The sequence below is a fragment of the Homo sapiens genome, chromosome 4 (genome assembly GCF_000001405.40).
Source record: "Homo sapiens chromosome 4, GRCh38.p14 Primary Assembly".
Taxonomy (NCBI): domain Eukaryota; kingdom Metazoa; phylum Chordata; class Mammalia; order Primates; family Hominidae; genus Homo; species Homo sapiens.
Genome location: NC_000004.12, coordinates 43,973,765 through 43,985,919, shown reverse-complemented (window position 1 = coordinate 43,985,919; position 12,155 = coordinate 43,973,765). Strand labels below are relative to the sequence as shown.

At 35.3% G+C, this 12,155-nt stretch overlaps 1 long non-coding RNA gene across 2 annotated transcripts in view; it reads left to right on the top strand.

Moving 5' to 3' along the window:
- The window catches only part of LOC105374438 (uncharacterized), a 37,090-nt gene extending 31,156 nt beyond the window's left edge, over positions 1–5,934 (top strand). For both annotated transcript variants that reach the window (NR_188377.1, NR_188376.1), the window contains 2 exons: positions 4,273–4,322; positions 5,489–5,934. This is a non-coding gene — a long non-coding RNA (uncharacterized LOC105374438). The remainder of the gene's footprint in view (positions 1–4,272; positions 4,323–5,488) is intronic.
- The last annotated feature ends 6,221 nt before the right edge of the window (positions 5,935–12,155 follow it).

The window sequence follows — 12,155 nt, the reverse complement described above, 5'->3', positions numbered from 1 at the left end:
CTAAGATTCTTGAAGGTCTCACATGCTTGTCAGATCCCATCAAGATTTTCCAATTATTCTTGCAGCCATTTGCTCAAGTTTGCACTTAGAATTAGTACAAATAATTCTTTTCTTTCATGACTGTGGTGGCTTTGGGAGTGCACTGCTTAGATCCACTGCAAGGAATATAGTTACAGGCATCATGCATCCTGAATACTTTTGAGATATACATCAGTGTCCACACCAAAACCAGGATATTTCTGTGTTGCTTCCCAGTCCATGACTAGGATAGTAGGGTTAATACGGCTGGGCCATTCCAGTACAATGCAGAACTTTTCTAATGAGCAAACTTGACTCATCTCTGATAGGACTTCGCTAATCTTTGCTAATCTAAACCCCATTGGCTTGATTTAGATGTTCCCAGAAGTACATTATACCACCAGTTTCTAACAATTACCTCACCATTGCTGAGGTTTTAAATTCACATTCTTTTTCTATTTTTATTTTTTGAAACGGATTCTCACTCTATTGCCCAGGCTGGAGTGCAGCGGCACAATCTTGACTCACTTCAACCTCCATCTCCTGGGTTCAAGCGATTCTTGTGCCTCAGCCTCCCATGAAGCTGGGATTACAGGCAGGCACCACCATGCCTGGCTAAGTTTTGTATTTTTAGTAGAGACGGGGTTTCACCATGTTGGCCAGGCTAGTTGTGAACTCATGACCTCAAGTGATCTCCCGCCTTGGCCTCCCAAAGTGCTGGGATTACAGCTATGAGCCACTGCACCTGGCCAAATTCACATTCTTTATCTAGTGTTGACATTTTATCCCTAAATAATTTTTGAAAGATCCTCGATCTCCTTGATGTGTTTTTATCCAGAGAGTTGTACATATTGTTCAACCAGTTTTTGACTTTAAAACTTGTCCCAGTTCTGTTATAGGAACTTCTTTACACTTATGTTTGGTTAAATTCCACCATTAAATTGTTTTCTTTTCTTATCTTTTTCTTTTCTTTCTTTCTTTCTCTTTCTTTTTTTCTTTTTCCTTTCTTTTCCTCTTTTTGTCTTCCTTCCTTCCTTCCTTCCTTCCTTCCTTCCTCCCTTCCCTTTCCTTTCTTTCCTTTCTTTCTCCCTTCTCTCTCTCTCTCTTTCTTTCTTTTCCTTGATCTCTTTCTTTTTCTTTGAGACAGGATATCACTCTTGCTCAGGTGGGAGTACAGTGGAGTGATCACTGCAGCCTCGACCTTCGGGGATCAGGTGATCACCTCATACCTCAGCCTTCCAGGTAGCTGGAACTACAGGCGCCTACCACCATGCCTGACTAATTTTTGTATTTTTTGTCGAGATGGCATTTTGCCATATTACCCAGGCTGGTCTCGAACTCCTGTACTGAAGCAATCCAACTGTCTTGAACTCCCAATAGCCTGTGATTGCAGGTGTGAGACACTGTCCAGCTCTTCATTTTTTAACTTTTATTTTAAGCTCAGGGGTACATATTCATGTTTGTTATATTAGTGAACCCATGTCATGGGGGTTTGTTGCACAGATTATTTCATAACCCAAGCATCAAGCCTAGTACCCATTAGTTATTTTCTTTGATCCTCTCCCTTCTCCCACCCTCCACCTTCCAATAGGCCTCAGTATGACCCAGAAAATTATTACTGGATATATACCCAAAAGAGTATAAATTGTCCTATCACAAAGAAATATGTATGCATATCTTCATTGCAGCTATTCACAATAGCGAAGACATGAAATCAATCTAAATGGTAGACCAGATAAAGAAAATGTGGTATATATACACCATGGAATACTACACAGCCATAAAAAGAGTGAGATCATGCTCTTTGCAAGAATATGGATGAAGCTGGAGGCCATTATCCTTAGCAAAGTAACACAGGAACAGAAAACCAGATACAGTATGTTCTCACTTATAAGTGGGAGCTAAATGATGAGATCACATGGACACATAGAGGGGAACAAGTTCTTTTCTCTCCTTCCTTCCTCCCTTCCTTCCCTCCTTCCTTCACTTTCTCCCTTCCTTCCTTCCTTTCTTCCTCCTTTTCTTCCTTCCCTCCCTCCGTCTCTCCTTCCCTCCCTGCCTCCCTCCTTCCCTTCCTTCCTTTTCTCCTTCCTTTCTTCTTCCCTTTCTTCCTTCACTCCCTTCTTCTCTCCTTCCATCCCTCCCTCCTTCCCTTCCCTTTCCTTCCTTCCTTCCTTCCTTCTTTCCTTCCTTCCTTCCCTTTCCTTCCTTCCTTCCCTCCTTCCCTTTCCTTCCTTCCCTCCCTCCCTCTCTCCCTCTGTCCCTCCCTTCCTCCCTCCTTCCTTCCTTCTTTCCTTCCTTCCCTCCCTCCCTCTGTCCCTCCCTCCCTCCCTCCCTCCTTCCTTCCTTCCTTCCTTCCTTTTTGCCTCCATTTTTGGTTTATAATGGTGATGTGTTTTGGTAAAATAGTTTTGGACATTTTTCCTCAGAACTCGTCTTTCAAGTTTGAATTATTTTATTCTATCAATGCTATTCTATTAACAGTATTTTTCCTGAAGTATTTGTTACTATAAATTTGTCTTTCTTTATGATATGGTATACGTGTGTAATTTGGGTTTAAAATCATATATTGTGCATATGCTAATTTTTAAATAAAATATTTTAAAATGTATGATTGCTTTTGAAAGTAAGTTTGTGAGACCAATTTCTCTCGTTTGACTAAAGTACTTACTGTAAAAATATTATCAAGTGTTCTCAAAGATAAGAGATTAAGATAAAACATATATTATAGGCTAAGGCAGGAATTAAGTTTAAACCTCCACTATTGAGTTGAATTGGAGAGAAAGGACTCGGATGAGATTTACTCTTAAGATCCAGAAAGTGTGAGAGAACACCTATTTAGTTAGTAATACTTTGACAGGCTTCACCTTGAACTTTTCCATTTTTCTATACAGGCTGCTATGCTTAATTATCCTGATTCTTTTCAACTTTTTTTTAATCCTTTTTGTGACTTTTCAAAATCACACAGAATCTTTCCTTCCATTGCTGGATCCTTGCAGCATGTGCTGAGTGGTAAAGACTATAGTTAGAAACAGAATGTTAGTAAGAAAAATCCATCTAGATAATTGTTTGCCAAATACCTACTAAACACACACTTAGAGACACACACATGCACGCACACACACACACAGCCATTTATTGATGTATATTATAAGTAGTCTTTGTGCTAGAAACTTGACATAATTTATTTCATTTACTCTTCATGCAAATCCTTTGACTGTTACTATTTGTAATCTAAAAAGGAGATAGGTGACTGAGATAATTAAGTAACTTTCAAAGTCTCTTACATCTAATGAATAGCTGGTCTTGTAATCAAAATCAAATTTACATGGTTACAAATACTATGCTTTTTCCATTATATGTTACATTTCAAAGAGAAATAGAACATAGTATCTATATTCAAAAAGATTTCAGTCAATTGCAGCACTACAAGAGCAACAAAAATAATTATAATAACTTAAAATGTGTAAAGGCATCAAATGTCAACCTAAGCACCTCACCAGTTATGCTGACTCTTCATTCTGCACAGTGTTTTTCCATGTTCTATTGCTCAAAGTCCAAATACCATTTCATATTTGTGACTTATTTCTAATGATTCCTCTCTTTACAGTATCATATTATTTCCCTAAGAATACTTCTTTTATAGTATCTATAAATACTATAGATATTTATAGAATAATCTATAGAATAATACACACTATACACAATTGGATGGGTTCCTTGGGCAATTCATATATTTATTGGTAGAATATACATCCATTTTCACAGGATAATTGAGGTAGCATAATGGATTGTTGTCTCAGGAAAATATTTTATTTTACTTTTTATTTTTTAAACACCTAAATGAAGGCTGTGGAGTCATAGGGAGCTAGTGACAAAGTCACCAGGGAGTGAATAAAAGCTTGAAACAAAGGCCTGACTTGATTGGATTTGAATTTCAGGAAGATTAATAAAGAAAAAAGGGATTGGAGAGAGGAATGGCAATAGGTAGAGGAGCTATTCTGGTACCAGTTGTTATACTCTGGAGAGGGATGACGGATGCCTAAGATAAGGCAATAGTGAGGAGTAAGTGGAGGGGGAAAGTGGAATAAGAAGGTATAAATGACAACACTATGCTTAGATCAGTAGTTTTCATGTGTGTTTGTGTGTGTGTGTGTGTGTGTGTGATGAATTTTAGAGAGAAACTGGACAAGAAGCAAGTAAAAATTGTAGCTTGTACAAAACGTAAACCCAATTTTTTTTTCTATTTTACAGCTCTGAAAAATCAAATCTGTCCATGGCAGTGCTAGCATACTGTCTATTAGGTATGTCTGCAGTGTGGGAGAGGGAGAGAAGGTTGAGAGCTGCTTGATCATGCACAGTAGGAGAGGGAAAGTCAGATCTCCAGGATGATTACATAGTTTCCAACTTCAGTATCTGGATTATAGTGTTAATAATTATGAATGTAAGAATAGAGGAGAAATAGGCTGGGAGTGAAGACTGAATTCTGCCTCAGGATTAGCAACTTGAAGAGTTAATGCATTTATAAATAAAAGCAAAGAGTAAATTGCTACAAAATCCTAGCCATTTTCCTTTGGAAATATATACCATTTCTCAGTTGTATTCTATATGATTCTTCTGCATCATTTCTTGAGCAGTACAGTGATATAATTGTTAATTTACAATTGCAAACTGCTTAATTTTCCAGATTACCTTTTTAGCAGTCTTTTCTGTTCCATATTGTGTGTTACTTTTATAGTGCTTCAGTGAACTATCATTGTAGCCTTTACATACACAAACGTGAATATCGGGAGTATCTCTCTCCAACCAAGGAGCAAAGTCATTTACTAACTCTTCTACTTATATAGGAGTCAAGAGGGGAGGGAATGCTGGAAAGAAGATTGGATAAGCCCTGGGATGTCTTCTTCCGATCATAAACCCAACTGTAGGAAAATTACAACCACTAAAAATTTCCCTTTGAGTGAGGTTGTGTTTTTCAGAGGATAAGCGATACTGCAGTGGTTATAGCTCTTAAAAACATTGAAAAAAAAGCCAGAATATCAGAAAATCAATAGTAATAGTTTATTCATAAGGCAAAAAGTATAATTAGTTGAGTCTGACACTTTCTGTACATCACAAATTTTGTATTCCACTTAGGACTGGCAGATTAATCGTACAGAAGCTTTAGTCAGCAGATTCTCTTTCCATGAAAAATTACAAAGACAAACACTTCCTGAATGCCACCTTTTATGATTATTTTAAAAATAAAATTGTTGATGTCAATTTAAATATATTATTAATTCATTTCTTACTTGTTTTGTGAATACACTTTTCAAAATATCTCTCCTGGTTACACATTTTCATATTCATTTTCTCATTTCTCAAGGAAAGTCATTGCAGTGAAGAGTATTTTCAACTGATTTTCAAGTATCTATATTAGCCCATGGAGTACACTTCTTCGTTCAGTTTACTTTTTTTTTTATATTCACAGATTAAATGAAGCTGTAAGCATCTTTGAAGTACAAATGATACTTGGAAAGTAAATGAAACTGGGAATACTTGCAAGTAAAATATGGGAAGTCAAAGAGATTAAAGGATGAGAACCAGAAATTGCTTATGGCCAGTGTCCTGAGTAAGCCTCAGAATCGCATCCTAGAAGCATCAAGTTCTTGTGTTACCCTATGGATCTAAAAAACGACTTCCTTAGTTTGATGTAGTCTGCAGACATCTCATCATCACAAAAACTTGAAAGCACTTACAGCACTAAGAAACTACCTTTGCAGATTGTAAAAAAAGATAGAATCCTACTTAGTGTTTTGATCACACCTGCCTATTTCCCCAAGGTTTTACTGCAGGGTTAAAGAATGAATAAGCATCTAGTTATATTTAATAAACTCCATGCCTTATGGCTGATTCTAAAGGCACATGGCTTTGTTACATTCGCTTGAAGCTCTGCTTTATTTTCTAAAAATGGTTGCTTACAGTGGTCCCTTGCAGCCCATGGTGATAGTTTATAGGGTGCTATGTTATTTTTGTTTACTTGAGTGGATATTTATACACATGCCTCTTTAGATTCAGGTGTTTTCATTTTTTTTGTCAGGAGTTTGGTATCCATATGCAGAAAAATGCTGATGAGTCATTGCATTTATCTATTGCTTAGAGAGATGATGATGGGTCATAAACCCAGATATTTAAACAAACAACCAGAATAGTTTGTTACTTTCAGGCAAGATTCCTGATCGTTTTGTTGTTGTTGTTGCTGTTGTTGTTTTTCCTGCAATGAAAGAGGCAGCAGAAGGGAATCAGATAAATAACCCTCTCACATATCGTATTTACTTGTAATATTGTTATGCCATCAAGTAGAACAAAAATCAATATAATTGCTTTATATTTATCAAGTACTCACTCTGTGCCAGTCTTCTAAATGCTGTATGTGAATTAATGCATTTAATTCTCAACACCACCCTGTGAAGTATCTACTCATATTTCCTGATTTTTCCGATGAGATACTGAAGCACACAGTGTATAATAACTTGCTTGACTTCACAGTTGGTAAGTGGTAAATCTGAGACTCATGCCTAGAAAGTTGCGTTCCAGAATCCACATGGTTAACCACCATGCTATAACAGTTGACATAAGCTGAAACCTGGAAGAGTAGAATGGTCAATTCTCAGCTTAGAGCAATTTGTGAGTACTGTCTGACCAAACCAATTATTACAAAATTTATCTGGTTTATAGCAATAATAAAATACAGGAATTGGTTACTGTAAGATCTGGTTCTGAAAAAAAGAAAGCAAGAAAGAAGCCATACAAATTAAGAGAAAAAGATGTAAAAAGTGATAATAAATATTATATACATATACACTAATTGTATATCATATACACTAATTGTATATTATAAATTTTAAATGATTTGATTTTTTAAATTTCAACACCAAATTATTAAAGCAGAATTATTAAAATAGTAGAAAATAGCTAATGAAATAATTATAAAAATATGAAAATACTGCATGAAAAAGCCACATCATTACGTGTTCACTGGTGAAATCTTTAGAAGTTAGAAGAAAAATATAATTAGCATATTACATTGTCCATTTCAAATCATGAAAACAATGTGAGATTAACAAATTCATCATATACAGTTAATATCTCAACATCAAACTTGATAATTTAATTAAAATAGGAAACTTTATACTGATTTCATACATGTACATAATAAAACATTCAGATAGAAATACTAACAACTAGAATTAAACATGATGCAACACTACAGAAAGGGTTTGATTCAAGAATGCAAGTTACTAAATCAATAAAAAATTATTTTATCAATGAAATATATGCTCAAATGAGTACCTTAAAAGACCCATCTCAAGTTTTAAAATTGAGTTTAATAGCATTAGAATGATTTTTCTTTATTAAAATATTTGAGATAAAATTTTTATTTTGTTATTTTTGCAAATGTATGGGATACATAAGAATTTTTTTATATGCATATAATGCTTTGTGATAAGTCATATTTAGGGTGTCCATCATCCAAGCACAATACATTTTAAAGTATAGTTATCCTACTCTGCTATCAAACATTGAATTTAATCCTTCTAACTTACTGCATATTTGTACCCTTTAATCTATTTCTTCATCGTCTCTGTCAGCCTTCATTCTCCCCAATCTGTGTTACCTATTTTTCCACTCTCTACCTCCACATCTTCAAATATTTTAGCTTCCACATATAAATGAGAATGTGATATTTGTCTTTTTGTGCCTGGCTTATGAAATCAAAATTTTAAAACTTTGTCTTTATATTGAGAAATGATTATATGATTTCTGCTTCACCATTATTATTTAATATAATTTAGAAATTTTGTTCTCATCAATGATAGAAGCCAGAAATTAAATTAGAAGTAATAAATGGTGGAAAGGGAGAGATAATCATATTATAGGGAGATGACATTTTATCCCTAGGAACCTAAAAAAAGTCAGCCAGAAATGAGCTTGAATTTAGTGACATTGTAGATAATTTTATAAAAGTCAATCTGCCAGCAATACTAGATAGGAATGAAAATGAGCCATAGAGAGTGGACAAGTAGAGATGTGAGAAATCCACATTCTCTTGTAATGGTTAGCACAGGCTTCCTGCAGGATATTGTCCTTGAACTGAAAGTTGAATGGAAAAAGTAATACGCTTCTTGAACCAAAAAAGGAAGACATGCTTAGTAAGAGGGAAAACAAGTCAAACTGGCCATTCGACTGGATCTCTCTTTTCTTACTATTGAATTTTTTGGAGGTTTTGGTAACACTGCTCTCCTTTCTCTGACTTTCCTGTAGCATTCTCTTCTGTTTATTTTACACATGATACATTCTATCAAGTTCTGCACAGCACTCCTATCTTAATACTGTTGAACTTTATATTCAATTATTTGGAATTAATAAATAGATCTGTTATTTTGTAATTAAGTACAAATGAGACACTGTACATTTCTCTAAATGTAACTCAAAGTTTTACATTTTCTTCACTTTTATGAGAGTCCTAGATGAATAAATGATAGTCTATACTATGAATAAACAGGGCCTAGTTATTCTTAGAATAGTTTCAATTTAATTCTGTTACCACTCATGGGTAAAAATGCCTTCATTTTTTTTTCTTTCCTGTTTTTGACACAGAGTTAAGGATGAATGAATTGAAGATACCTAATAATTATTGTTTCTATTTTTCCTACTTCATATATTTAAATCAGGTGATACACCAAGTAACATTATTTTTCTCCCATCTCTTTCAGGCATAGAACAATTTCTAAAGTAACAGTAAACGCTAATGTTTAAAATAAATTGTGTGTGTGTGTGTGTGTGCATGCACATATGTTTTAGCCAAGTAAGTGAACTGCAACCTGACTCAATTCCAAAAAGATTGTTTTGGAAACCATTAAAAGAAATCCAAGTACCAAGGAAGGCCTTCAACATGGTCACAAGTCTCTATCACTACTGTATTTATGTGGGGCCAAATAGTGGGTGTTATGGAGTAAAAATTTTCTTTCCCCCTAAATTCATATGTTGAAGGTCAAAACCCCAGTGTGACTATTGAGAGATAGGGCCTGTGAGGAGGTGATAAAGGTTTAATTAAGTGAGGCTCCAATCCAACAGGGCTGGTGCCCTTAAAAGAGGAGAAAGAGACACTAGAGTGATCGCTCTTGACCATGTGAAGACACAGCAAACAGGTGGCATGTGCAAGTCAGGAGGAGAGCCCTCACCAGAAACGAAATCAGTGGACACCTTGACCCATGAGCCACCAGAACTGTGAGAAATAAACATCTGCTGTTTAAGCCACCTCATGTATGATATTCGGTTATGGCATCCCAAGAAAACTAGTACAGTGGGATATTTTAAAACTCAGCTCTTTTAGGAAACACTGAACAATTAAAAAGACAAAAGAGTATGTGTCACACAATAATACTGTATGTATCCCATACTAAGGTCCTAAGGGGACACATAACTATGTCTTTCAAGAAAAACCCCACCTACCAACTCAGTGAGTAGACATGGACCCACTAATAAATAGAGCAGAGATTTAAGAGAGGATAGGGCTTAAGCTCTAATGAAGAGTCACAAAGATCACAAATCCAGAAACATTTTCACTTCTAAATGGTTTACTGTTCCTTAATTTGAATTTTCAGTCCACATAGACACAGCATATTAAAATTATGCACAACACACATGCACCTACGTAGAGAAAGAAAAAGAGGGAGAGAAAGAATATATGTGATTGGACTTTTGGGAGAATACACTTTGTGTCAAGCATTGTACCTATCATCAAACAAATACTATAAGGAGGCATCATCCCTATTTTTGAAGATGATAAACTGAGACACAAAGATATAACTTGAACATGATTCCACTATTATTTGTGAACTAAATAACAACAATTCATTTTCAGTTAGAACATGGAAGCCCACAACAATAAAAATGAACCATTTATGAACCTCACATCACAAAGATCCATATCTCCAGAGGTTCTGAAGGATACATTTGGATAAGCGGTGGATTATTCCAAATGAACTTTCTTATAAGGCTTCATCTGACATTTGTAATTATTAGTAGTCACAATTATGAAAAAATTGGCTTACAGGCTTTAAAAAATTTTTTTAAATTAGGAAGGGATCATCTCACTGAGTTACCCAGAACAAAGTGAAAATTTGTTTGATTGTATTGTGTATGGATACCAAACAAAATTGCCTGATTGTATTGTATATAGAACTGGAAAACATGCCAGGAATGGAGGCATTTATGAACAAGCTACTTGTGTGCCTCTCTCTCATTCCTGGTGTGTGCTTATGGCAACTCAGCTTATTTTTGGATCTGCTCACGATTTCTGCTTCTTTACAACATTTGCTCTCTGTGACCCCACATAGTCCCCATTGTATCCCAACCCTCTCAAAATAGTTTTCCAGCTTTATCTTCGAATACAAATTGCCTCATTATCTTGATATTTGCTAGATCAAATTTAAACATCAAGGAGAGTATGATTAGACTATTTGAGCTTTTTTTGTATTATGTCATATCGTAGGACTCTGCCTATCTTATGCATCAGCCACCTTCAAATTATGTAGCTTCTAATCAACGGTGGTCAGAAAGGAGAGGGCTAGTGGGGAAAACAAAAGCCTAATGATAGTTATGTCTTAACCTGGGTTTGTAACTATTCATTCTGTTATTTGTTCAACAACATTTATTAGGTGCCTACTATGTTTCAGACATTGTTCCAGGCTCTGAGTTACACCTGCGGTCAAAATGGACAAAATCTTGATCCAGTTGAGGTGAAATTGAAGAAGGGAGAAATGCACAGCAAAGAAATGGATACATAAATATTCAGTGTCTCAGGAGGTAATAGGTCTTCTGGGAGAAATACAAAGCAGGATATAACGGAAATGTGATAGGGCTGCTATTAATACTATTGCTAAATTAATTAGAGAAGACTTCTCTGATAAGGTGATATTTGAAAAGATGCATTAAGGTTGAGATGGAGGAAGCCATATAACTATCTGGGAGAATGGTGTTCTAGGTGTCCTGTGATGTCAGCACGCTTTGGAAAGTTTGGGGAACAGCCAAGGATGACAATGTTACTGTAGCAGAGAGCAGCAGGAGAATGATAAAAAATGAGGTCTATAAGGGAGTGAAATTTTAGGCCACAGAAAGGACTTTGAATCTTACTTTTTTAGTTGAAAATTCGTTTGAGCATTTGAGCAAAGTAGTGATATCAACTGATTTATGTTTTTAAGGAAACATTATGAGGGCTGGCTGTGGAATATTTAGTAAAATGACAAGAATGAGAAGAGGGAATTTCTCTTTAAAGTAGCTGTGGATAATGCAGGCAAAATGATTGATGTCTATTTCAATTACACAGATAGTTTGAATGATTGACTCCAGCATACAAAGTAAAACAATCTACTGTATTTAGTATTTATAGTGTAAACAAAATACTCTCCGATTTTTTAGTAATTCATATTTTAGGAGGATATTAATAATAACCATAAATATTTATATTCATGGAGAGTGTTTCTTATATTCTTATGAAGCTCAAAATTTACTATCATCAGTTAGTTCCTTTTACTAATGCATTATGAAGAGTTCTGTGTGCACTCCCAGTATGACCTATTCATTTCATACTCATTAAGAAATTAATGTTTTTCAAGCAAATGTTACAAATGAATGTTTAATTTAGTGGCAATTAAGAATGTATATTTACAGAACATTTCTTATTAATTAACACATGGCTAAACATAGAAAAGTTTGACCTTCCACTGTAACTACTCACCTGACTCTGCATTATTTTCAAAACCACCGGAACTTGATCCGACCTGGTCATGTCTCCCTCTGCAAACACATTCCTTCCTAATGAGGTCCTACTCCCCAGGTGGTATGCAGCAAATTCAGTTCTTTGCATTTTTCTGTACAGTCCAACACTTAAACATCCAGCTGATTCTGAGGAAGGCTTAATATCCAGAAGCAATTCTGATAAGCAGCTGTTATAAAATGCCTTCCCATTCCTATTTGAAATGAGCAAAATGAGGGACTTACCTCAAAATCAGGTCTTTAGTACAAACAGTACATGTTTAGATGTACACATGAGTGCTAGCCCTCAGAATCACAAATTAGAGGAAAAACTCCAT